Here is a 26,228-nt window from a genome sequence, read left to right as displayed (position 1 = left end):
ATGGGCACCTGCAGCATCGGTCTGGGGAGAACAGCATTCGAGCTGCCGGGTCTGACCTCAAAGTGCCTTCTCGTGGATACCTGTCTGGAGGGTGGGAGCAGGAGACAGACAGACCCTCTGGGGAGTGTGATGGCACATGTGACAGAGCCGCCTCCGCTTTGACTCTTGCTGGGGTCTTCTCTCTCTGCCTCTGGGATTCATAACAATTTGAGGGATTTTGTTTTTGTCTTCAACTTAGAGGGTGCAGTTTCTGGTTTCATCTGGGTGGAGGGGTCAGTCGGGAGCTAGGATCTTGATCAGCGTGGCTGAATGTATATGACAGAGTGGTGCTTTGGAAGAAAGGAGAGTTGCTCAGATCCAGTTTCAGGAACGACCTTTTGCAAGGCTTTGAAAGACCAGCAAGGGGTGAGGGAAACCATCATTGGAAAAAGGTCCTATGAATTAACAGGAATTTTTCTGCAGGTGGCTTGTGGTCCGGTTGGCCACCAAGTGGTGTCAGCGGAAGCTGCAGGCGGAGCTAAAGATTGGCTCCTTCCGCTTTTTTTGGATCCAGAATGTCAGTCTTAAGTTTCAGCAACACCAGCAAACAGTGGTGAGTTCTGGGAAACTCTGGATATGTGTGTAGGGTTGATCCAATTGAATTTAAACTCTTAATTTCCTTTTTTTAAAAATAGAAATCCTGGTGGCTTTTCTAGTTAATCCCAGCCTTGCCATTTCTTTGCCAAGATGATCTTAGAGCTAGTTGGAGAACGCTGCAAGTTGTTCAGTTAAAAATGTTTGTAGGACACAGAGTGTCCAGGGCACATAACAAAGATACAGAAGAAAGATAACAGGAAATCGAAGATTTTACTGTTCTAATTTAAGATGGGATTCAAGGCAACATGGCTATGAAAGAGAAATTCTAATAATCCAGAACATTTCCTGGCTTGTCAAGCTGCTCGTGGCTTATTTAGCAGCTAGCACACAGAGCTTTCTCCCTCACTGTTTTAGGAAATTGATAACCTGTGGATTTCCAGCAAACTCCTTAGCCATGATCTTCCGTGAGTACCCTATATTCTCACTTCTCCCCTAGAAGAGTACTTTGGAGTTGGTGTTTGCAGAGTGACACTCTTCTGCAGAGGCATCACAATCCAAGGAGGAAGGGAGGTTGTTGCTGAAGTCTTCCTGTTAGCCTGGGTGCCATTGTGTTGTGAGGAAGATATTGATAACTGCTATGAAACTAATCTCTGTGATTTGAGCTATATTTCTAGGAAGGATGAGAAAGTGAATGTGAGGGTGGGGAATAGACTGCTATGGGAGGGATGGACCTGGTGGCAGTGAGATTTCTCTTCTGGGCAGACACTATGTGGCATTGTGCTTTGGAGAAGTGCGTATCAGAACGGACCTACAGAAAGTTTCTGACCTGTCTGCCCCATTCTCCCAGAGCGCTGGGGTGGATCAAAAGGAACTGTCCTTCAGCCCATCCTTATTGAAGATCTTCTGCCAAGTGAGACAACTTCTCCTGCTATCCTGGACTGTACTTTGGCATGGTTGGCTTTGGAGTTATGGGTAGATTTTTCTGTTTTTAGGGCATAATGCTAAGAGCTGCCCCTCTTTCTCATCTGGAAAGGAAGGGCAGTTCCTTAACATTAATTATTGTTCATCCTTGCTTCTTCCTTCCAGCTATTCTCCATTCATGTAGATGCTATAAACATCATGGTTCTCAAGGTGGATACCTCTGAGTCCTTATGGCATATTCAGATCAGTAGAAGCAGATTTCTTTTGGATAGTGATGGGAAAAGGTAAGCACTGGGGAGCAGAGGATCTAGCCGTCCTATTCTTGCCTCAGAGTTGCTTCAGGGCCTCCTTATCAAGGTGTTAAGTTCTCATTCTGTGCAGTTGGAGGAGATGCTAAGATTAGACATTTCCAATTGCCTTGTCCCTTCTAGCCACCAGAGCTTGACTGGAGGTAAGTGGTGAGGAAAGGGACCAAGTTCTCTTTTTTTTAAATTTTTTTTTTGAGACAGAGTCTTGCTCTGTTGCCTAGGCTGGAGTGCAGTGGTGCGGTCTTGGCTCACTGCAAGCTCCGCCTCCTGGGTTCAGACCATTCTCCTGCCTCAGCCTCCCGAGTAGCTGGGACTACAGGCGGCCGCCACCGCGCCTGGCTAATTTTTTGTATTTTTAGTAGAGATGAGGTTTCACCGTGTTAGTCAGGATGGTCTTGATCTCCTGACCTCATGATCCTCCCACCTTGGCCTCCCAAAGTGCTGGGGTTACAGGCGTGAGCCACCGCGCCCGGCAAGGCCAAGTGCTCTTAATTTTTTTCCTTTCCCAGGCTAATCTGTGAGGTGAGCTTATGTAAGATCAACAGCAAAGTTCTAAAGAGTGGTCAGCTGGTAAGTATGCCATGATCATTCAGATGCCTCATTTCCTCCTGGGCGTAAAGTGTGAAGGAGCTTAGGGCTTACATCCTAGGTTCTTTGACCTTAGGGGGTTCCCTCAAGTCAGTACCCAGTGTTCCAGATCACCACATTTTGACCTAAAACTTCCAAACTTTCTTACATACACCTTAGAGGCTTATCATCCCCACAGGAGGACACCTGCCTAGTGGAGCTTTCACTGGCCCTGGACCTGTGTCTAAAGGTGGGCATTAGCAGTCGGCATCTCACTGCTATCACTGTGGATGTGTGGACACTCCATGCTGAACTGCATGAGGGCCTCTTCCAGAGCCAACTGCTGTGCCAGGGCCCAAGCCTAGCATCTAAGCCTGTTCCCTGTTCAGGTAAAGCCCCAGTGATTGAGCTTCTTGGCTGCCTTGTTCTCAGGGTTTGTTTTGGAAGTAGAAAAAATAGTGGTCTCACTGCTTATTTAGATGTGATTCACTAGTCACCATGGACTTTGACCCTAAGGATAGTTAGAGGAAATAGGGCATTTGCTTGTGCTGAGTGGCAGAACCAGCATTGAGTGGGCACCTATCATGAGTTAGACCTGTACTATGGGTTTTTTTTTTTTCCTTTTTTTTTAAAAAAAAAGATGGAGTCTTGCTCTGTCACCCAGGCTGGAGTGCAATGGCGTGATCTCGGCTCACTGCAACCTTTAACCTTCTGGGTTCAAGTGATTCTCCTGCCTCAGCCTCCTGAGTAGCTGGGATTACAGTCATCCGCCACCATGCCTGGCTAATTTTTGTATTTTTAGTAGAGACGGGATTTCGCCGTGTTAGCCAGGATGGTCTCGATCTCCTGACCTCGTGATCCGCCAGCCTTGGCCTCCCAAAGTGCTGGGATTACAGGCGTGAGCCACCATGCCTGGCCTTGTACTATGTGTTTTATATACAGTTGACCACTGAACAACACAGGTTTGAGCTGTGCGGATCCACTTATGTGGATTTTTTTCAATAAATACAGTTGGCTCTCCATATCTGTGTGTTCCGCATCCACAAGCAAGTGTGGATGGAAAATGCCAATATTTGCAGGATATGAAACTCACCAATATGGAGGGCTGACTTTTTGTATACATGAGTTCCCACAGGGACAACTGCTGGACTTGAGTATGTGCGGACTTTGGTATCTGCAGGGGGTCCTGGAACCAAAGCTCCAAGGATACCAAAGGATGACTGTATATTCTCTAACTAAATCCTCAGCATTTCACAAATAAGGAAACTGAAGCCTAGGAAGGTTAGCTAGGTAACTTGACTGAAGTCATACAGGCAGTCAGTAGTAAAAATGATGTTTAAATTATTTGGCCCTAAGGTCCACATTCTTTTCATTTACCAACCTGCTCCTTGTACTCTTTAGGTTTTTAGAGACTGGAGAAAGAAGTACTGCAGGTGCCTGGATCTCTGGGGCATTCGCCTTATGGTCCATCCAGCTTAGGCATTTGCTTAGCCTACTTTATGTGGGAGGATTTGACCATAGAGGCCAGGGCATTTCGGGAGAACTGGGAGTGTTAAGAATTGATGGTTCTTACGTTATTCATTCATATTTTCAGAGGTGACAGAAAACTTAGTTGAGCCAACTCTGCCTGGCCTATTCCTTCTCCAGCAGCTGCCAGACCAGGTCAAGGTTAAGATGGAGAACACAAGCGTGGTATTGTCCATGAATAGTCAAAAGAGGTGAGGTCTCTCCTGACACAGAAGATGGGAGAGTGATAGTGGGAGCTGTATGTTGGTATCTCTGTAACCAGCCTAGTATTTGCTGAGCTTGTCTACGGGGAGAAAGGAAGTAGAAATGGTTACATCCATGTAGTGTGGGAAAAATTAAAAAAATTATTATTATTTTTGAGACGGAGTCTTGCTCTGTTGCCCAGGCTGGAGTTCAGTGGTGCGATCTTGGCTCACCACAACCTCTGCCTCCCAGGTTCAAGCGATTCTCCTGCCTCAGCCTCCCGAATAGCTGGGATTATAGGCACGTGCCACCACGCCCGGCTAATTTTTTGTATTTTAGTAGAGGCAGGGTTTCACTGTGTTGGCCAGGATGGTCTCGATCTCCTGACCTCGTGATCCCCCTGCCTCGGCCTCCCAAAGGGCTGGGATTACAAGAGTGAGCCACTGCGCCTGGCCAAAAAATAATTACTTTTAAAAAATAAAAGTAAAAGAAGTAGGAATGGCATTCCACATCTTCCTGAGCTGGAATCTGTCTCGGTCCAGGCACCTGACTTGGACTCTGAAGCTGCTGCAGTTCCTGTACCACCGTGATGAGGATCAGCTGCCCCTTCGAAGCTTCACAGCAAACTCTGATATGGCACAGATGAGCACTGAACTGCTGCTGGAAGGTTCATGGGTCGGGGTACTGGTACTGAGCGAGAATGGGAGGACTAGATACTCTCTTTGCTCATGCCCCATATGGTCTCCTTAATCTAATCTCAGTGTAACTGGGGAGTGGAAGGAGGGAACATACTGAGAGAAAATAGCCCCAGCTCACAAGTTTTGATGACAGTCTGTTGATCCCTTTGCCGGCTTCTGACCCTCTCCCAGTTTTACCTCTTGCCCTTCCAGTGCTCTCCTCTGATCTGTCCTCTGGCCTCTTACAGATGGGTTGTTGTTGTCCCAGAGTCGCCAACGCATTGTCTGCCTCAACTCCCTCAAGGCTAGTGTGCAGGTGTGATGATTGTGGTACCAAGAATTGTTCCTTTCTCTATTCTCCCGCTACATTATTTCGTTTTGAGTTTGTGAAATAAAACCCAAACCCACAGTTCTGGTCTTCTTATTTCAGGTGACCACCATTGACCTCTCAGCCTCCCTAGTTCTGAACACTTGCATCATTCACTACCGGCACCAGGAATTCTCTCACTGGCTGCACCTGCTAGCACTGGAAACCCAAGGGTCTAGTTCACCTGTTCTAAAGCAAAGGAAAAAAAGGTCAGTCTGATCTTTTTCAGCCACCTTCTTGTCAGTTGGATTCTCTGGGATTCTTTTGGTCCAAATTGGCATCCTGTGTTAAATATGTATTTGGTTGTTTGACCTCCTCAAATCCGAGTCTCAACAGCAATCCTGTTTTATATATCTTTCCCATTAGACTAGACTCCTTGATAGCAGAATGCTGTCCTCTTTGTTTTTATGTCCTCGGTGCTCAGTGTAGTGTTTTATACAAAATAAATGTTTGTTGAACTGAACTTAAATGATAAGGAATGTCTTTGTCTTGCCTGCCTTTGATTGTAAGGTGGCAGTCATGTCTTTGTGTAGTGCTTCTATTGTGCTGCACAGAGAACTTAAGGTTATGGTTTAGAAGTGATGCTTCTTGGTTATTTTAGGTTCAAGCGTATAGTATTGCTGGTGTTCATTGTATTTGGCCTATGAAAATGATAATTTTATATGAGTCAACCTAATATCCTTTTGGGGTTCCTGCAGATTACCATTAAGAGTAGCAATAAACTGATGAGTTCAGCCTTTTATCTTCTAGGTGTGTCTCGTCCTAAGAATCACAATAAAACTCTGAATTCTCACTCTGATTGTGAGAGCTTCAGAAACTGTTCCATGATAGGAAGCTGCAGTTCTTTTCTTACCAAACAATGATGTCTTGTTCCTATGCAGAACCTTCCCCCAAATCCTGGCTCCCATCATCTTTAGCACCTCCATCTCCAATGTCAACATTTCCATTCAACTTGGAGATACACCACCTTTTGCCTTGGGATTCAATTCTATCTCTCTGGGTAAGGCTCTCAGATGGAATAGGAACAAGAATCTGTCCGTTAGTGGAGCTAGGCCCAATTGATGGCCACAGTGGCTCCATGCAATCCCTCTTTCTCACCTTTGTTCAGATTACCAGCACCTCAGGCCACAAAGCATCCATCAGCGGGGCGTCCTAACTGTGGACCACCTCTGCTGGCGTGTGGGCAGTGACTCCCACATTCAGCGGGCGCCACACCCACCCAATATGCATGTTTGGGGTGAGGCACTTGTTCTGGACTCCTTCACACTACAGGTAGGTGAGGGCTTTGGTGAATAGGGGCCTGCACAGCTTTCCTCATCCTGTCATGCGTCAGAGCGCTGAGCATCCTAATGCAGCAGGAAGTGCATTAGGGCATTATAAAACTGTGCGCCTGCATACTTCTAATGGGATCCGTCTGCTTCTTCTCTAGGGTAGCTATAACCAGCCTCTGGGCCTGTCCAGCACCCAGTCAGATACCCTTTTTCTTGATTGTACCATTCGAGGACTTCAGGTGGAAGCATCAGATACCTGTGCCCAATGTCTGTCTCGTATCTTATCCCTGATGGGTCCACAATCTGGGAAGTCAGCTGTCTCTAGGCACTCTTCATTTGGGGAATCTGTGTCATTACTGTGGAAGGTGGACTTGAAGGTCGAAGACATGAACTTGTTTACCCTTTCTGCCTTGGTTGGTAAGTGGGACAAGGAGTCTATACTGAAGTGTGCTACTTGGGAGACTGAGGCAGGAGAATCACTTCAACCCAGGAGGCAGAGTTTGCAGTGAGCTGAGATGGTGCCACTGCACTCGAGCCTGGGCAAACGAGCGAGACTCTGTCTCCAAAAAATAAAATAAAATAAGTAAATAAATATACTGAAGTGTGTAGTGTGTAACCTTAGCAGATTATGTTGGTTTAGTCTGCTCCTCATTTAATGAAGCTGATTATCTGGAATTTTTCTAAATTAGAGGCACGAGATGCTTGAAAGTCTTGCATAAATATTAGACTTCTTGGTATTTCTTAAGGGCTTATGAAAGGCAAGTACTAAGCAAGACATATAAGAAAAAGCCTTGATCTAGTCAAGAGAGATCCATATAACTTTTTATTTCCTTGTGTGTTTAGTTCTAGAGAGTAAATGGTATGTCTCTGTGCAATTTGTAGGAGTTAAGGAACAACTTTGATTCTGCCGAATCTAGTTAGGTTAAGATGGGAAAGGGAAAGTTTACTTAAAACCTAAGAAATGAACTTAGGGAGGCATGAGGAATAAAGATAGTTAAGGGAATAAGTGAGAAAGGCGAGTGAGGACTATTGTTGCCCTTTGAGAGCCGGGAACCAAGGCTGACATGGTTTCTGGTTGTTAGGTGCTTCAGAGGTACGACTGGACACCCTAACTATCCTGGGCAGTGCAGAGACGTCCACTGTGGGGATTCAAGGACTTGTGTTAGCGCTGGTGAAATCAGTCACGGAGAAGATGCAACCCTGTTGCAAGGCCCCTGACATCCCTACCCCAGTGCTCAGCCTTTCCATGCTCTCCATCACCTATCACAGCAGCATCCGCTCTCTGGAGGTAATGTTCCTGTGGAGAGGTGGGGCCAGGCTGGTTTTTTCCTCAGCTTAGAGCCTTTCTCTGTCTTTTTTTTTTTTTTTCTTGTCTTTTCCCAAAACAGAGTGTCACATGTTGCCCAGACTGGTCTTAAACTACTGGGCTCAAGCAGTCCTCCTATCTTGGCCTCCCAAAGTGCTGGGATTACAGGTGTGAGCCACCACGCCCAGCCTCTCTTTTTAACTCATGTTGTGAAACTGGTTTCATGAGAAATATGACACCTGATCTTCTTTATTTTTTCTAGCTCGTATGTTTTTAACTTTTTGTGGAATTTAAAATACATACAAAACTAGAGAGAATTTATAAGCTTTTGTATACCAAGATTCAATAATTACCAATTCATGACCAACTTCTTTTAATTATACTGTCACCAATTTCCCCTGCCTCAGGCTCTGGGATTATTTTGAAGTAGGTAAGTACGTATCAGACATATATAATTTCAACTATAAATATTTCACTATGCATCTCTGAAAAATAAGGGGCTTTTTAAAAAGAATGATCTGGTGTTATTTTGCTGAAGCCCTCGGCCCATTAAAAGACTGGAAGGAGTCAGAAGATAGAGGCACTGGCAGGTTTTGAGAGGCTTTCCAGTATCTTTATCCTCAGGGTAACAAATGGACATGGGACCCTCTTAGGAGGAGGGTGGGGCGTTAGTTCCTCCTTGTCAGACTTCACCGTCCTTTGGAAACTGAAGAGTTTCCTTTTTAGAGACTAGAACTTGAGAATTTTATGTCCTGGAATTTTACTTTTCTCTGTCCACTTAGCTATTCAGAAGCTGACAAAGACACTACTCTCTCCTTGAGGCATACTTTTACGTAAGTCAGCTGCCATATTGACTTGTGTGCTCAGTACTTTATTATGCTATATTTTGAGAATTAAATTGATGCAATCAACTCATGAAACCTTTTCAAGTTGACTGTTGCAGTGGTTACTAGACAGTGTAGTTGCTGATAGAAAGGTAACTCATAAGCAGAAACATGAAGCCAGATGATTTATTGAGTACCTGCTGTCTATACTGAGTATACTATGGTAGATACCAAAGAATTAAGACACATGGCCCCTATTTTCAGACAATTTAGAATCCAGTTGAAGAGAACTTAAAAAGTATAAGTGCTCTTAAATGTCAGACACTATCAACTGTCAGCTCAGCACATTAGTGCTAACAGGAACAAAGCAAGGCAGTAATTAATGTGATTACTCAGGAACAACTTCTGGGTGGAGATGGTTCTTGAGCCAGGTGTGCATGTGTCATAATCCTTGCCATCTCTACTGTTTTGTGACATGGTAATTGACAGATCCTTTTCTTCTGCTCCCTAAAGGTTCAGTGTGGTGCAGGGCTGACCTTACTTTGGAGCCCCCCAGATCACATGTACCTGTACCAGCATGTCCTGGCCACTCTACAGTGCCGAGACCTACTAAGAGCCACTGTGTTTCCTGAGACTGTACCATCCCTTGCACTAGAGACTTCAGGAACTACTTCTGAGCTAGAAGGCCGTGCCCCTGAGCCATTACCCCCAAAGCGGCTGCTAAACCTAACCCTGGAGGTGAGCACAGCCAAGCTCACAGCTTTTGTAGCTGAGGACAAGTTCATTACCCTGGCTGCAGAGAGTGTGTCACTGAGCCGGCATGGAGGTTCCCTGCAGGCATACTGTCCAGAGCTGGCTGCTGGCTTTGATGGCAATAGTATCTTCAACTTCAAGGAGGTGGAGGTGCAGCTGCTACCTGAGCTGGAAGAGATGATCCTCCACCGGAACCCCTTCCCTGCGCTGCAGACCCTCCGGAACCGTGTTTGGCTCCTCTCTTTCGGCTCAGTCTCGGTGGAGTTTCCTTATCAGTATGACTTTTCTCGAACTCTAGATGAGGCTGTGGGAGTTCAGAAGTGGCTGAAGGGACTACATCAAGGGACTCGTGCTTGGGCCTCTCCAAGCCCTGTCCCACTCCCACCTGATCTACTCTTAAAGGTTGAGCACTTCTCATGGGTTTTCTTGGATGATGTTTTTGAGGTGAAACTTCATGATAACTACGAGCTGATGAAGGATGAAAGTAAGGAGAGTGCCAAAAGACTACAGCTACTGGATGCTAAAGTGGCCGCCCTTCGGAAGCAGCATGGGGAGTTGTTGCCTGCCCGCAAAATTGAGGAGCTCTATGCCTCTTTGGAACGCAAAAACATTGAAATCTACATCCAGCGTTCCCGTCGTCTCTATGGCAACACACCCATGCGCCGGGCACTGCTTACTTGGAGCTTAGCAGGGCTAGAACTGGTAGCTCTGGCAGATGCCTCCTTCCATGGTCCTGAGCATGTGGTAGAACAGGTTCAAGAGCTTGATCCAGGCAGCCCTTTTCCCCCTGAGGGATTAGATCTTGTCATTCAGTGGTGTCGAATGCTCAAGTGCAATGTCAAGAGCTTTCTGGGTAAGTAGTGTTTCCTTTATTTGCAGACCCCGTGTTTGCCCGCTGAGCTCTGGGGAGCTCTCAGTGATTTCAGAGGAACTAGGTTATATTGGGAACTGTGCCGTTTTGGGTGGGTGGAGTGGGATGGGTGGGCTTCCCTTCCCTTTCTTTGTTCCTGAATTTCACCGTGAAATTGCTTGGCTAACATAAAGGGAAAGCTAACACAGTCATCTTTAAGGTTATTGTGTCTCTTGGATCTCAGTGCTATGCCCTTAACCACCTGCTCCAGGGTCACTGTCATTTTTCAGCTTGCTGTGTCAACTGCCTGCCCTTGTTCTCTCAATTGACTTTGTAAATATAGATGGGTAAAATAGTGGTGAGGAAAAAGATAGGCCCGAGAGTGCTCAGACTGCCCCTGAGTAGCCAGTGTGTACCCTTCCTCTGGTAACAGTTCGGATCAGGGACTATCCACGGTACCTGTTTGAGATCCGTGACTGGCGGCTAATGGGTCGACTTGTGGGCACCGAGCAGAGTGGTCAGCCTTGCTCCCGTCGGCGTCAGATCTTGCACTTGGGGCTTCCGTGGGGTAACGTGGCAGTGGAGAGGAACATGCCCCCACTCAAATTCTACCATGACTTTCACTGTGAGTAGAGATGAGGCAGTTGGTTTGGCTGAGGGACGTTTGTGATGGGTGAAATGGGAGGTGAGCTGAGACCCTTCTGGAGTGAAGGAGGAAGAGAGGGGTAATGTTGTGAACAAGTTATAGCCTTTGTTCCTCTACCCCAGCGGAAATATTCCAGTACACAGTGGTGTGGGGCCCATGCTGGGATCCAGCCTGGACACTAATTGGCCAGTGTGTGGACCTCTTGACCAAGCCCTCAGCTGACCCCAGCCCACCTTTGCCCTGGTGGGACAAGAGCCGTCTTCTGTTCCATGGAGACTGGCACATGGACATTGAACAGGCGAACCTGCACCAGCTGGCCACTGAGGTGAGGGGTGTCATGATACTTTTATCCTATCAGGATGGTATGGTTGAGGTCTGTATAGCACATGTGGGAAGAGAGACAGGTGCTGATTTGGGAGATGAGGATGGTTTTCTTACCTATATCTCACCAAATTCTCGGGGGTGGTCATAGGATCCATACAACACAACTGAAAATATGCACTGGGAGTGGAGCCACCTGTCTTTTCATTGGAAACCTGGTCAGTTTGTGTTCAAGGGTGACTTGGATATCAACGTGAGAACAGCCTCTAAGTGAGTGGAGTGAAGGGAGGGTCCTCCATGGGATGAGGGGCTCAGGTTGGAGGGAGGGGGAAGAGCCAAGGGGAAGTGAGTGACCAGGGCACTGAGGGCTGGGGTTCCATTGTGAGGCAGGTATGACGACTGCTGCTTCCTTCACCTGCCTGACCTCTGCATGACACTGGACCTGCAGTGGCTGTGCCATGGGAACCCCCATGATCACCATAGTGTCACTCTGCGGGCCCCAGAGTTCCTGCCTGAGGTGCCCTTGGGCCAGCTTCATGACTCCTACCGGGCCTTTCGCTCGGAGAACCTCAATCTCTCCATCAAGATGGATCTGACTCGGCACAGTGGAAGTGAGGCTTGGGCCTGGGGCAGTGGGGAGGAAGGGCTTGGGAGGACGGGCATGGATGCTGGGGACTTTAGCTTGACCCTCTGGGGAGGGGAGGGGAGGGGAGAAGGGCAAGGGAGAATCTAGGTTAGGACCTTTTTTTTTGTTTTTTGGCAGGGGAAAGGGTTGGTGTCTTAGTCCTTTTTGGCTGCTATAACAGTAATACCACAAGTTTGGTAGCTTATAAACAACAAGCGTTTATCTCTCACAGTTCTGGAGGCTTGAAAGTCGAAGATCAAAAAGAGCTGATAGATTCAGTGTCAGTGAGGGCCCATTCCTCATAGATGGTGCCTTTTTGCTGTGTCCTAATATGGTGGAAGGAGTCAGTGAGCTCCCTTGGACCACTTTTAAAAGGGCACTAATCCTATTCATGAAGGCTCCACCGTCATGATCTAGTGACCTCCCAGAGGCCCACCTCTTAACATCATTACCTTAGGGGTATTTCAGCATGAATTTTGGGGAGATGCAAACATTTAGACCATAGCAGTAGGGGAAAGCAGAGAGCTTAGATCCTTGAAAGAAGAGGGAGTTGGGGATGCTGAATGTGAGGCTAGGTGCTGTTTGGATTTTGGATTTTTAAACCTCTACAACCTGCAGCAAGGGAAGGATTTAGCTTTACCTCTGTGTTTCATCCATAACTAGGAAATGTCTGTCTTTCTCTTTGCAGCAATATCCCAGCCCCGAATTCTGCTATATAGTAGTACCCTGCGCTGGATGCAAAACTTCTGGGCAACTTGGACAAGTGTCACAAGGCCTATCTGCAGGGGAAAGCTCTTCAATAACCTGAAACCCAGCAAGAAGAAACTTGGTCAGCACTACAAGCAACTTTCCTATACAGCCCTCTTTCCCCAGCTGCAGGTAAGGCACTGATGTCCCTGCTGACATCTTCACTTTATTCTGCTTCTAGTTTTCTTGTTTCTCATATTGAGTCCCTTAATCATCCCTCTCATGCCATCCTTTGTTAATGTTATGCTCTCTTGTTGCCAGGTACATTATTGGGCCTCATTTGCCCAGCAACGGGGCATCCAGATTGAGTGCAGTCAGGGCCATGTCTTCACTCGGGGGACTCAGCGGCTTATACCTCAAGGTAAAATGAAAGACTCCTTTCATTTCTCCTATCCTGTTCCTTGTTTTTCCCTTCTCAGTTCCATTCCCCTCCTCCATCTCTGTCTTACACTATCCTCTGAACTGGTCAGCATGGTCTCTGTGTGCCTCTTTTTCTCAGCAGGCACAGTGATGCGGCGCCTTATCTCTGATTGGAGTGTTACCCAGATGGTGAGTGACCTAAGTCAGGTGACCGTTCACCTGATGGCCTCACCCACTGAAGAGAATGCTGATCACTGTCTTGATCCCTTGGTAACAAAGACCCACCTGCTGAGCTTGTCCTCCCTCACCTACCAACGGCATAGCAATCGCACAGCTGAGGAGGTACTCCCTGACACACTTTCTTTATTACCTTATTTATATTAGTAGGTATCTCAGCCTACTTGGGCTGCCATAACAAAATACCAGAGACTGGGAGGTTTATACAACAAAAATTTATTTATGAGTTTTGGCTACTGGGAAGTCCAAGATCACGGTGCCCGCATGGTTGGGTTCTGGTGAGGGCTGTCTTCCTGGCTTGCAGATGGCTGCCTTGTGTCTGTCCTCACATGGCAGAGAGGGAGAGAGAGCACAAGTGTGCACGAGTGCTCTGGTTTCTCTTATTGTAAAAGCACTAATTCTGTCATGAGTGCCCCACCCTCGTGACCTTATGTCATTACCTCCCAAAGGCCCATCTCCACATACTGTTACATTGGGGGTTAGGACTTCAACATATGAATTTGGGGGGAACACAGTAAAGTCCATAGGAGTAGGTTGCAGATTAAGTCCCTGGTAAGGTTTCTCATATATTCCAAGCATGTATGTCATTACTTTATGACAAACTCATTTGGTTTAGCTGTATCAGCATCCTTCTTTTTGAAAATACTTTTTCTTTCTCTCCTAAAAATAGTATGTTACTCTTTAGGAAATAGAGTAAAATTTTTTCCTAACACTGAAAAAAAAATTGGTACTGCCTTTCCCCCAATTAGGGAAGGATTTTAAGTTGAAATTCTCAAGTCATTTAAAATACAGTGGGGGAGGGCTGGGTGCGGTGGCTCATGCCTGTAATCCCAGCACTTTGGGAGGCCAAGGCGGATGGATCATTTGAAGTCAGGAGTTCAAGACTAGCCTGACCAACATGGTGAAACCCCCATCTCTACTAAAAATACAAAAGAATTAGCTGGGAATGGTGGTACATGACCGTAGTTCCAGCTACTTGGGAGGTTGAGGCAGGAGAATCTCTTGAACCCGGGAGGTGGAGGTTGCAGAGAGCCGAGGTCACACCAGTGCGCTCCAAGCTGGGTGACAGAGCAAGATGCTGTCTCCAAAATACAAAAAAAAAAAAAAAAAAAAAAAAACAGTGGGGGCTGGGCTCAGGTGGCTCATGCCTGTAATCCCAACACTTTGGGAGGCTGAAGCAGGTGGATTGCTTGAGCTCAGGAGTTTGAGACCAGTCTGGGCAACATGAGGAAACCCTGTCTCTACCAAAAATACAAAAAATTATCTGGGTGTGGTGGCATGTGCCTGTGGTCCCAGCTACTCGGGAGGCTGAGGTGGGAAGATGGCTGGAGTCTGGGAAATCGAGGCTGCAGTGAGCCATGACCGCATCACTGCTCTCCAGCCTGGGTGACAGAGTGAGACCCCATCTCAGAAATAAATAGGCAAAGTGTGATGGCTCATGCCTGTAATCCCAGCACTCTGGGAGGCCAGGGTGGGTGGATCCCTTGAGCTCAAGAGTTCCAGACCAGCCTGGGCAACATGGTGAAACCGTGTTTCTACAAAAAATACAAAAAAATTAGCCAGGCATGGTGGCATGCACCTGTAGTCCTAGCTATTTAGGAGGCTGAGGTAGGAGGATGGCTTGAGCCCAAGAGGCAGAGGTTGTAGTGAGCCAGGATTGCACCATTAAGGCTGGGTGCAGTGGCTCACACCTGTAATCCCTACACTTTGGGAGGCTGAGGCAGATGGATCAGTCGAGGTCAGGAGTTTGAGACCAGACTGGCCAACATGGTGAAACCCTGTCTCTACTAAAAATACAAAAATTAGGCCAGGTATAGTGGCTCACGACTGTAATCCCAGCACTTTGGGATGCCAAGGTGGGCGGATCATTTGAGGTCAGGAGTTTGAGACCAGCCTGGCCAATATGGTGAAACCCCATCTTTACTAAAAAATACAAAAATTTGCTGGGCGTGGTGGCAGGTGCCTGTAATCCGAGCTACTCGGGAGGCTGAGGCAGGAGAATCGCTTGAACCCGGGAAGTGGAGGTTGCAGCCAGCTGAGATCGCACCATTGCCTTCAGCCTGGACGACAAGAGTGAGACTCTGTTTCCAAAAAATAAATAAATAAATAAATAAAAAATAAATAAATTAGCCAGGTGTGGTAGCACATACCTGTAATCCCCAGGTACTTGGAGACTGAAGCATGAGAATCGCTTGAACCTGGGAGGCAGAGGTTGCAGTTAGCCAAGATCATGCCACTGCACTCCAGCGTGGGTGATGGAGTGAGACTCTGTCTCAAAAAAAAATCACACCACTGCACTTCAGCCTGGGAGACAGAACCAGATTCTGTCTCAAATAAATAAATAAAAATAAATAAATATATTTAAAAAATAAAATGGGCCAGCACAGTGGCTTGTGCCCGTAGTCCCAGCTACTTGGGAGACTAAGGCAGGAAGATTGCTTGAAGCCAGGAGTTCAAGACCAGTCTGGACAAAATAGACTCCATTTCTTAAAAAAAAAATTTTAGAGGAACTCTGAAAACGTTTTTTGATAAAGAATAAAATACAGTAGGTATAGTTTGAATGTAATATAATATAAAAGCCAAGACCACTTAGTTTTTCTTCTCCAGGGTCTGTCTCCCCACCACGCCCAGTGAATTTTTTTTTTTTTTTGAGACTGCGTCTCTCTCTGTCGCCTGGGCTAGAGTGCAGTGGTGTGATCTCGGCTCACTGCAACCTCCACCTGCCAGGTTCAAGCGATTCTCCTGCCTCAGCTTCCTGAGTAGCTGGGATTACCAGTGCCAGCCACCATGCCCAGCTAATTTTTTGTATTTTTAGTAGAGATGGGGTTTCACCAGGTTGGCCAGGCTGGTCCCAAACTCCTGATCTCGTGATTTGCCCACTTCGGCCTCCCAAAGTGCTGGGATTACGGGCATGAGCCATGGCATCTGGCCAACAGGTTTCTTATTCAACAAACTTTTATCACTGCCTCTGTGGCACTGGGGGCAATTTCCATGCTACCCTGAAGTCCTTTTCCTGTTTCTTAGGAGCTCTCTGCTCGTGATGGGGATCCTACCTTTCATACACATCAGCTGCACTTAGTAGATTTACGGATTTCCTGGACAACTACCAATCGAGACATTGCCTTTGGGTTATATGATGGGTACAAAAAGGCAGCTGTACTCAAACGTAATCTTTCTACTGAGGCCCTGAAGGGGTTAAAGATTGATCCACAGATGCCAGCCAAAAAGCCAAAGCGGGGTGTCCCAACTAGTGCCTCAGCCCCACCTCGTGTTAACACTCCCAGCTTCAGTGGACAACCTGATAAGGGGTCATCAGGAGGTAAGCTCGGGGAGATGAGACTTTTTGGGTTTGGGTTTAGAACATGGATATGGGCTTGGACAGGAGTTTTAAAAGGACTGAGTCATGGTGCTTCTATCTAGGTAAAGAAGTGAAACTATTATTTTTCCTTCTTAGGCCACCTAAGTCTTACATATTAAGTAACAGTGATGTTGGGGCATTAAATGGTCTGGTCCTATGGCCAGAAGAGAATCAGAAGGGGAGTGTTGGAGCCAAAACAAGATGAGTAAGGGAAAGAAGCAAAGTGGTAAATGCCATAAGAGAGAAATAAAAGAAAATGGGAGTTGGATGGGCACAGTGGCTCACTCCTGTAATTCCAGCACTTTTGGAGGCCGAGGTGGGTGGGTCACTTGAAGTGAGGAGTTCAAGACCAGCCTGGCCAACATGGCAAAACCCCATCTCTACTAAAAATAATACAAAAAAAATTAACCAGGCATGGTGGCAAGTACCTGTAATCCCAGCTACTCGGGAGGCTAAGGCACGAGATTCGCTTGAACCCAGGAGGTGGAGGTGATAGAGCAGGACTCCATCTCAAAAAAAGAATATGGGGCCGGGCGCAGTGGCTCACGCCTGTAATCCCAGTACTTTGGGAGGCTGAGGTGGGTGGGTCAGGAGATCGAGACTATCCTGGCTAACACGGTGAAACCCCATCTCTACTAAAAATACAAAAAAATTAGCCGTGCATGGTGGCGGGTGCTTGTAGTCCCAGCTACTTGGGAGGCTGAGGCAGGAGAATGGCATGAACCTGGGAGGCAGAGCTTGCAGTGAGCCTAGATCGCACCACTGCACTCCAGCCTGGGCCACAGAGCAAGTCTCTGTCTCAAAAAAAAAAAAAATGGAGGTATTGCTGACAGGAGTGAAGGGGGGAATACCATCAGGGGAGGGTTTATTGAGGAAGTAGCATTTGAGCCAGGCCTTGAAAGCCTAGTATGGTTTGAACATGTAGAAATGGGGTAGAAGGGCAATCAATGCAGAGGGAATAATCTGAGTAGGAGTGGAGTTTGAAAGCCTAGTGCGTTCAAAGCAGAGTCTTGAGTGGAAAAACCCAAACTCAAAAGTGTTTTTTCTATTCCCTCACTCGAAAACAATTGACACAGAAGACTTCTGTGACCAAATGTGTGGGAATTTTTCCCAACCAATAAGCAAGCAATTAATTCTGCAGTGGACACCAGTTGGGTGTCCTCTAATTCAGTTCAATTCTGACACTATCTACCCAGGGACAGCATCAGATTCCAAAGGTTGACGACTCAGTCTCTAAGCCCGCCCTTCTCCTTCATATGCCAGTCACAGGCTCCAGGTTGCTTTATCTGTGCTTCTCACCAACTGGCTATAAACGGGTTCCCACAACCCCCTCCTTGGGTTCAATTAATTTGCTAGAGCAGCTCACAGGACTGAAGGAAACATGTTTACTGGATTACTGTAAAGGGTATTACAAAGGATATGGATGAAGAGATGCATAGTGCGAGGTATGGGAAGTGGCGGGAAGCTTCTGTGCCCTCCCCAGGCAGGCATGCTATGCCCCAGGAACCTCTACGTGTTCAGCTATCCAGAAGCTCTCCAAACCCTGTCCTTTTGGGTTTTTAATGGAGACTTCATTATGTAGGCATGATTGATTAAACCATTGGCCATTGGTGATTAACTTAGCCTTCAGCCCCTCTCTTCCCAGGAAGTGTGGGTTGGGTGGGGGGCTGAAAATTATAACCCTCTAATCCTGCCTGGGTCTTTCCAGTGACCAGCCACCATCTGGAAGCTACTTAGGGGCTGCCAGCAACTAGTCAACTCAGCACACAAAAAGACATCACTTAGGAGGCACTAATGATTTTAGATTTTATATGCCAGGAAGCAGGGAAGACCAAATATATATTTCACAGTATCACAGAGAGTAAACAGTCTCTTTTAGTAGACAGAGAGTAACTAAGGGAGAGGAGTGAGAGAAAGGACTGGAAAGGAAAGCTGGGGTAGATCATCAAAGACCTTTCATATAGGGCTAAGTAGTTTTTGGTCCTTGTACAGTAGGCAGTGGTGAACTACTGAATGTTTTTGAACATGGGTGTGTCATTGTTTTACTTTTATGAAGACAGATCTGGGAGTAGTGTGTAGGAGGATTGGAGAGGAAGAAACTGGAGGTGGGGAGACAAATTAGGAAACTATCATGGTGTCTCAGTAAGAAGCATTGAGAACTGGGGCCAGGCATGGTGGCTCACGCCCGTAGTCCCAGCACTTTGGGAGGCCGAGGCGGATGGATCACGAGGTCAGGAGCTTGAGACCAGCCTGGCCACCATGGTGAAACCCTGTCTCTACTAAAAATACAAAAATTAGCTGGGCATGGTGGTGTGTGCCTGTAATCCCAGCTACTCGGGAGGCTGAGACGGTAGAATTGCTTGAACCTGGGGGTGGAGGTTGCAGTGAGCCGAGATTGCGCCATTGCACTCCAGCCTGGGCAACAAGAGTGAAACTCCATCTCAAGGGAAGAAAAAAAAGCATTGAGGGCTAGAACTAGGTAGAGGCAGTGGGAATGGAGATAAGATGGATGGAAAGATTAAGATGCATATGGGTGAACTGACCACTGGTTGGAAGGAGGAGTTTAAGGGAGAAAATTATAACGACTAGATTTTGAGCCTGATGACTGGCATGATGGTAACAGTAATATCAGAAATAGAGCCTGAGACTAAACAGGTTTGGGAGGTGTAGGATTGTTGAGTTCACATTTGGGCATGCTGAATTTGCGTCACTAGTAAGGTATCAATATAATGTCTAACAAACAGCTGGAAATTAGAGTCTAAAAGCTTAGGGCTAAAGATAGATATTTGGGAATTTCAGCATAGAGGTAAGAGAATATTTTTATGTATTTTTCCATTTTTTCTTTTTTCTTTTTCTTTTTCTTTTTCTTTTTTTTTTTTTTTTTTTTTTTTGAGACGGAGTCTTGCTCTGTCACCAGGCTGGAGTGCAGTGGTGCAATCTCGGCTCACTGCAACCTCTGCCTCCTGGATTCAAGCTATTCTTCTACCTCAGCCTCCCAAGTAGCTGGGATTACAGGTGCATGCCACCACACCTGGCTAATTTTTGTATTTTTAGTAGAGATGGAGTATCACCATGTTGGCCAGGATGGTCTCAATATCCTGACCTCGTGATCTGCCCACTTCAGCCTCCCAAAGTGCTGGGATTACAGGCGTGAGCCACCGCGCCTGGCCCCGTTAAACTTTCATAGCAATCTCATGAGAGAGTTACTCTTTTACAAACAAGTAAACTATGATGCAAAGAGGGCAGACTGCCCAAGGTCACAATACAGGCAGACTAGTCTGATTCTGGAGACTGTGCTCTTAACCATACACTCTGTTAGACAAACCCATTAAGAGAAAGAGTAGGAAAGAGAAGGGAACATGCCAAGGATGGATCTGAGGAGCTTAGACCTGGGAGAAGGAAGAGGGCCTGGAGACATAATCAGGGGAAGCAGCAGACCTCAGAGAATATAATGACATTGATGGCAAGAGAGTGGTTTCAAGTGGAAAAGAGTGGTCAAATAACATGTAAAATAATATGAAATGAAAAAAGAAATAAAATGGGGGTAAGGGAGAGATCATAGAGTAATACCTAAGAGAAAAAAATGTTACCTAGCATTTCTAAGTTTCTGTTGGGAATCTGTTACTTTTATTAAAATTGAAGGGAAAGTGAAATAACCCTTGTTTTGCCTTCATGGGTCAAGGGATGGGCTGGGCTAGAGTTTTAGGTTTGGGAGGATGTATTCTAAGCTCTTACCTAGCCAGATAAATTGAGGGAAGATCAATTTGGCTCTGGAAAGGGAAAAGTCTTTCCCTTTGAGACTGTGACCTTTCCCTGCTTCCTATTTCTCTGCCAGGTGCTTACATGTTGCAGAAGCTAATTGAAGAGACAGATAGGTTTGTAGTGTTCACAGAAGAGGAATCAGGCATGAGTGACCAGTTGTGTGGCATTGCTGCCTGCCAGACGGATGACATATACAACCGAAACTGCCTTATTGAATTGGTCAACTGTCAGGTACCTTCTCTTTACAAGTTACCTCAACATCAGGCTAGATCATGATCATATTGTTCCCCTTCCCCCACCTCTAAATATGAATGGGTGAATAGAGCTCCAAAAAATTTGGCCTTCTCATAGGTATCATAGGTAATCACTTCTATGTCTAAAAGCCAGTAAAATTTACTTGGTAAGCCAGCATTAGACCTAGCTGCAGTGGTTGATACAATGTGCTCACTAACCTCATCGTCCTTGGTAGCTTAACTCTGCTTCTATCTCTGGCATAGATGGTTCTTCGTGGAGCAGAGACAGAAGGCTGTGTCATTGTGTCAGCTGCCAAAGCCCAACTGCTGCAGTGCCAGCACCATCCAGCCTGGTATGGTGATACATTGAAGCAAAAGACATCCTGGACTTGCCTCTTGGATGGCATGCAGTACTTTGCCACCACTGAAAGCAGCCCCACAGAGCAGGATGGCCGACAGCTCTGGTTAGAGGTTAGTCAGTGAGTTTGTGAAGGCCCATTATATTCCTGGTTTTCCGTAGACTTTCTAATGGCTGGAAGATTCTTGACAGTAACCTGCTGTTACTAGCTTAGCAGAATAATGAGGCTAATAACACCTTGAATGTGGGCAATCTCTGGTCTGGAAGCATGTAGTGCTTTTTTTTTTTTTCCTCATGGTGTTCTATTTCATTGCAAAAGAAACTCTCATTTCTCAGAACTCGTATAAAATGGACTGGAACTGTTTTTAAGATTGCTGATCCCTATTAATGTTCACACTAATCAGCAGGCAGCCAAGAAAACAGGCAGTGACTGAGAATTTTCAGTAAGTTCACTATCTGCCCTTTCTCTGTCCTCTCATGAAAATGACTGATTGGTTATTTCAGCAAGGCAGTGAGGTTGAATGAAAGACTGCCTAGGAGTCAGGTTATGTGATTTCTAATGATAGCTTTCCCATTATAGTAGCCATGAGCTCTTGGACAAGTCACCTTTAATCGTGAAATGGAATTGATACTTCACCCTCACAAGATTGTTGAAAGGATCACATAAGGTGCTTTGAAAATATAAAGCTTTATTCAGGTGGAAAGTACTCTTATTTTTTTTTTTAAGTCAGTATGTCTGGGGAGGTCTAAGTGTGTGGCAAGGTAATGTGGTTTTGTTTTTTTTGTTTGTTTGTTTTTTGAGACAGAGTTTGCTCTGTAGCCCAGGCTGGAGTGCAATGGCGCGAACTCAGCTCACTGCAACCTCTGCCTCCCGGGTTCAAGCCATTCTCCTGCCTCAGCCTCCTGAGTAGCTGGGATTACAGGCGTGCCCCACCATGCCCGGCTAATTTTTGTATTTTTAGTAGAGACAGGGTTTCACCATGTTGGCCAGGCTGGTCTCACGCTCCTGACCTCGTGATCCGCCCGCCTCGGCCTCCCAAAGTGCTGGGATTACAGGCGTGAGCCACCCCACCCAGCCAAGATAATGTTTTTGTTAGATGGTGAGATTGTGAGCAGTTGGCAGAAACAAGGGAAGGAGCCTGTCTTTGCATTGCGTGGTTGTTAATTTTCTTTTCAGCTTCTTGGTAAAACTGAACCAGGTTATATTTTACCCTGTAACTTCTAAGATATAATATCATCAGAATTATTGGAGAGTCTATTGATTATGAGATATGCCTAGGCAATATTGTGCGTTATTACTTATTTAACAGGTGTTAAGTGTCCACATTGTACTGGGCATGGTACACCCCCTATATGAGTTACAGGATTTAGCTGTATCTGGTAAGGACCACAGTGATAAGTCCATTTGCAGTTCTACTTAGTGGGGATAAAACTGATCCCTCTTTTCACCTCCCTGGCTGATGCTTCTTTTATCAAGGACCTTAGGGCTTAATCCAGGCAACCTCAAGTGTAATAAGAGGTAATGAGCATTTAGATCAGATGTTAAGCCGTGTAAGGGACCGGTTGTTGGTAATATGAGAAGTCATGCTGATATATAAGAGCTGTGGTTCATTCAGACAAGCAGTGCTCTTTATCAGTAGTCTTAGGAGGTAAGCACAGGTGTTAACTACCCATGCAGAAGTAGAATGGATGAGCTATCAGGATCTTTCTGGCATTTTTTGCACCTCTGCTGCTTTTAGGCATGCCTTCTTTTGTGGGTGAACTCTTTCCCCCCGCCCCCCTCAGGCTGCGATACTAGCATTAGAGTGGAACATCTTGGGCTTAGGTACAAGGGACTTTGATCTGGCCTTTCCTATATTTTTTTGAGACTTGTCAGATCCACCATCTGCTGTGGTCTTCCCATCTCACTCAATGTTATTCACTCTGACTTCAGCTTGGCAGAGTGAATAAAAATAATTCAATTCCCTTCGCCCATGGCAACATTGTCAGAGTGGTTATCTATCTGAAGATAGAAAAAGCAAGAACACAAATGGAACAAATACCAAAATGTGTGAGAAAGTCATTTTTTTTAATGAGATATTTTGCCCATGACATGATTAGATTTGAACCTTTCTCATTGTTTTTCTGGCTCGAGACCTGTGGGCCTGGCAAAGTGTGCATGTAACTCAGTTGGGTTGGAGAATTTGGGTAGACTGGGGCAAGAGAATGAGACAAGTATGTCCTCTATCCTGGGAGATATGGTTCAAGCTATTCCATGCAGTGGAGGTCCAGATAGTAAGTGTAACTACTTGAAACATGGAGATCTGTCACCCAATTGTCCAGGACAAGCCACTCTTTTCCCAGGAGCTAAAGTTGCCTGCATCTCTTTCTTCAGGTGAAGAATATCGAGGAGCACCGGCAGCGTAGTCTGGACTCTGTGCAGGAGCTGATGGAGAGTGGGCAGGCAGTGGGCGGCATGGTTACCACAACCACAGGTCAGCCCTCCCCCTCCTCTGCATCAAATGATTAGGAGCAGATGTGCATCCCAAAGGGACCTCATTTCCCTACCTATTCTTAACGTCAGTGTATGCTGGAGTAGGACCATTTTGTGCTAGGCTGGGTTGAAAGCAGTGTTTCTGGAGTTTCTGAGACATAGCTGGGAGGCTCTCACATTATCTTTATTGAGAATGTCTTTTTCTTATCTCTTTCCCACCTCTTCCCAGATTGGAACCAGCCAGCTGAGGCACAGCAAGCCCAGCAAGTCCAGCGGATCATTTCGCGTTGCAACTGCCGAATGTACTATATTAGTTACAGCCATGACATTGATCCTGAACTAGCAACTCAGATTAAGCCACCTGAAGTTCTTGAGAACCAGGAAAAGGAAGATCTCCTAAAGAAGCAGGAAGGTATTCAGGGCTTGAAAGGCTTTTAGGAAGGGACTAGAGAAATTGTGAAAGTAGTTATTTCCTTGGTGGTTTTGAGACAGTAGAGTTATTAAAAATCCACTGTGCACTGGCATTAACATTTCACTTTGCTCTACTTTTTGTAAGTTCTGCTATGAGAAAATAACCTCTATTCTTGGAGGGAGCTGGGATGAATGGGCATTGTTTATGATTCTGAAGTAAACATGTTTCTGCCCATGAGCAACTCTCACCCTTTCTGTGGGGTTGACTAGTGGGGTGGTTCCAAATGTGGGTTAAGAGATGGAGTAGATATTTAGGTAGAAACTTGAGCCTTTTATTTAGCTGCTAACAATTATCTAGGGGCTGTGGATACCTTCACCCTTATCCACCATGAGCTGGAAATTTCCACCAACCCAGCTCAGTATGCCATGATCCTGGACATTGTCAACAACCTGCTGCTCCATGTAGAACCTAAGCGGAAGGTGAGCATGGGCCCTTGTAGAATGCTGGTTAGCCTCACAGGAACACCCAGACTTTGTGCTTTATTTGGGCTTCTGTAACAAAAGCCATGCTTCACACTGAAAAAGGGCCTTGTGGTTGGTAGATTCTCTTAGTCGGCAGTGACAATTGAAATTCCACTTACTTAGGAAAGGCCTGAATATCTCTCAGACCGTAGGGCTTGTTTGCCTGATTGTTTTCTCCTAGTCATTTCTCTACTCAGTCACCTAGACACCTCTAAAAACATTTACTATTCCCTGCTTCCACCTCCATCCCATCCTGTTGGGCCTGACCTATTGTGAAATCCACATTGCCACATTTTCTGCATTGACCTACTACTGTTGCTATTACCAGTGACAGATAAAGGTTAGCTTTCTAGAAGAGACCCCCCCCATTTCTTTCTCCTTTCTCTATTTCACTTTACTACAAGACTTGTCTACTTAAAAATCATATTCATTTCCCTTTCCATTCCTTTAGGAACATAGTGAGAAGAAGCAACGGGTCAGGTTCCAGCTTGAGATCTCTAGCAATCCAGAGGAGCAACGCAGCAGCATACTGCATTTGCAGGAGGCTGTGCGGCAGCATGTGGCCCAAATACGACAGCTGGAGAAGCAGATGTATTCTATCATGAAGGTAGTCACTGCAGATAGATAGTTTGAGAACCAGGAAGTCTCCTAGAACGAGGGCGGTCTCTCAGTTTCTATCCTGGTTCCCTAGTCTTTGCAGGATGACAGCAAGAATGAGAATCTGCTTGACCTGAACCAGAAGCTTCAGTTGCAGCTAAACCAGGAGAAGGCCAACCTGCAGCTGGAAAGTGAAGAACTGAATATCCTCATCAGGTGCCCCAGCATTCTTTCCTTGCCCTTTTCCAGTGCCCCAGCTAGAGGCAGTTCTCTTTCTTGCCCATGTTTTGACTGTCTTTAGGTCTAGTGTGCATTATCAAAGGCTGATGTAGGAGTAGGTTCAGACATCTCTTCCTGAATAAGAAAATGGGTAGTTGGGAAGGATCACTTTTTTTTTTTTTAGAGACAAAGTGGTCTCACTATGTTGACCAGGCTGGTCTGGAACTCCCGGGCTCAAGCAGTCCTCCTGCCTTGGCCTCCCAAAGTGCTGGGATTACAGGCGTGAGCTGGGATTACCACACCCAGCTGAAAGATCACTTTGGTGGCCTTGATACTATGCATCTGAACTGAAAATATCTTTTTTTTTTTAATGAACCTGACATAAACATATGAAAATGTCTTGAAGTTGATCAGTATACAGTTGCAGATAAAATTGTAGGAATTATTAGTGGGAAGACACTACTTTATCAAGAAGCTATAGAGCTGAAAGATGGGATTTGTGCTCCTATGACCTAGAATGTCAGGAGCAATAAATTCAGTGAAAAAAATGTAGGGACTGGCTAACCCAGAATAGGTTAATTTCTGGGTTTACCTCCTGCATCATTCTAGAGCATTCTATCCCACCCCCAACCCATGTGCTGTTTCCCTTACTGGCTTTGGCTCCCCTGTCCACTTACAGGTGTTTTAAGGATTTCCAACTGCAGCGGGCTAACAAGATGGAGCTGCGAAAGCAGCAAGAAGATGTGAGTGTGGTCCGTCGCACTGAGTTTTACTTTGCTCAGGCACGGTGGCGCCTGACAGAGGAAGATGGACAGCTGGGAATTGCTGAATTAGAACTGCAGAGGTTCCTCTACAGCAAGGTATCTGGGGTATATGGTCACACAAAGGCAGCTGTATTGAGAGACATTGACCTAGCTTAGGAGTCTAACTCATAAAAGAGAAATAAAAGGGGGTTAATTATTGTATGATTATTAATGATAGTATCATTAATATTAACGAGCTCATTAATCATATTAATGAGCAGAGCTTCCTTAGATATATCTGTTTATAATGAATGATACACATATAGCTCTGATGCCATAGGGGGAGAGTAAGAATGAACAAAGAAATAAAATAATTTTTAAAAAATGATACAGGCCACGTGTAGTGGTTCATGCCTGTAATCCCATAACTTTGGGAGGCTGAGGTGGGAGGATTGCTTAAAGTCAAGAGTTCAACAAAAATTTTAA

The 26,228-nt window shown here is 45.9% G+C and overlaps 1 protein-coding gene across 8 annotated transcripts in view, besides 1 other annotated feature; it reads left to right on the top strand.

The window, feature by feature from the left end:
* The window catches only part of BLTP2 (bridge-like lipid transfer protein family member 2), a 30,720-nt gene that overhangs the window by 510 nt on the left and 3,982 nt on the right, over positions 1-26,228 (top strand). Inside the window, exons 2-33 of one of the 8 annotated variants that reach the window (NM_001363829.1) lie at positions 463-592; positions 991-1,040; positions 1,339-1,548; positions 1,663-1,781; positions 2,315-2,375; positions 2,572-2,761; positions 3,967-4,090; positions 4,625-4,749; positions 5,008-5,075; positions 5,190-5,335; positions 6,008-6,126; positions 6,235-6,398; positions 6,556-6,814; positions 7,480-7,685; positions 7,966-8,133; positions 9,041-10,133; positions 10,564-10,755; positions 10,899-11,101; positions 11,249-11,367; positions 11,488-11,708; positions 12,411-12,601; positions 12,731-12,830; positions 12,972-13,171; positions 16,091-16,385; positions 20,260-20,417; positions 20,684-20,890; positions 23,152-23,251; positions 23,480-23,662; positions 24,020-24,141; positions 24,635-24,790; positions 24,875-24,996; positions 25,679-25,859. In NM_001363829.1, coding sequence (NP_001350758.1) covers positions 9,089-10,133; positions 10,564-10,755; positions 10,899-11,101; positions 11,249-11,367; positions 11,488-11,708; positions 12,411-12,601; positions 12,731-12,830; positions 12,972-13,171; positions 16,091-16,385; positions 20,260-20,417; positions 20,684-20,890; positions 23,152-23,251; positions 23,480-23,662; positions 24,020-24,141; positions 24,635-24,790; positions 24,875-24,996; positions 25,679-25,859 — 3,795 coding nt within the window. In that variant the 5' untranslated portion in view covers positions 463-592; positions 991-1,040; positions 1,339-1,548; ... (11 more) ...; positions 7,966-8,133; positions 9,041-9,088. Of the gene's footprint in view, positions 1-462; positions 593-990; positions 1,041-1,338; positions 1,549-1,662; positions 1,782-2,314; positions 2,376-2,571; positions 2,762-3,966; positions 4,091-4,624; positions 4,764-5,007; positions 5,076-5,189; positions 5,590-6,007; positions 6,127-6,234; positions 6,399-6,555; positions 6,815-7,479; positions 7,686-7,965; positions 8,134-9,040; positions 10,134-10,563; positions 10,756-10,898; positions 11,102-11,248; positions 11,368-11,487; positions 11,709-12,410; positions 12,602-12,730; positions 12,831-12,968; positions 13,172-16,090; positions 16,386-20,259; positions 20,418-20,683; positions 20,891-23,151; positions 23,252-23,479; positions 23,663-24,019; positions 24,142-24,634; positions 24,791-24,874; positions 24,997-25,678; positions 25,860-26,228 lie in introns of those variants that run through there. The other 7 variants (NM_001321560.2, NM_014680.5, NM_001363826.1 and 4 more) reach the window with 7 other exon arrangements.
* Positions 16,582-16,756: a silencer, noted in NCBI's record as "fragment chr17:26954912-26955086 (GRCh37/hg19 assembly coordinates)". NCBI's record gives its function as "represses an EF-1alpha promoter that drives an FKBP-Casp9 reporter gene in an ReSE screen in K562 erythroleukemia cells {active_cell/tissue: K562}" and the evidence as "EXISTENCE:reporter gene assay evidence [ECO:0000049][PMID:32094911]".

Source organism: Homo sapiens, chromosome 17 (assembly GCF_000001405.40).
Source record: "Homo sapiens chromosome 17, GRCh38.p14 Primary Assembly".
Classification (NCBI taxonomy): Eukaryota; Metazoa; Chordata; class Mammalia; order Primates; family Hominidae; genus Homo; species Homo sapiens.
The sequence above is the reverse complement of the archived record's forward strand: the minus strand, read 5'-3'. Positions and strand labels throughout refer to the sequence as shown.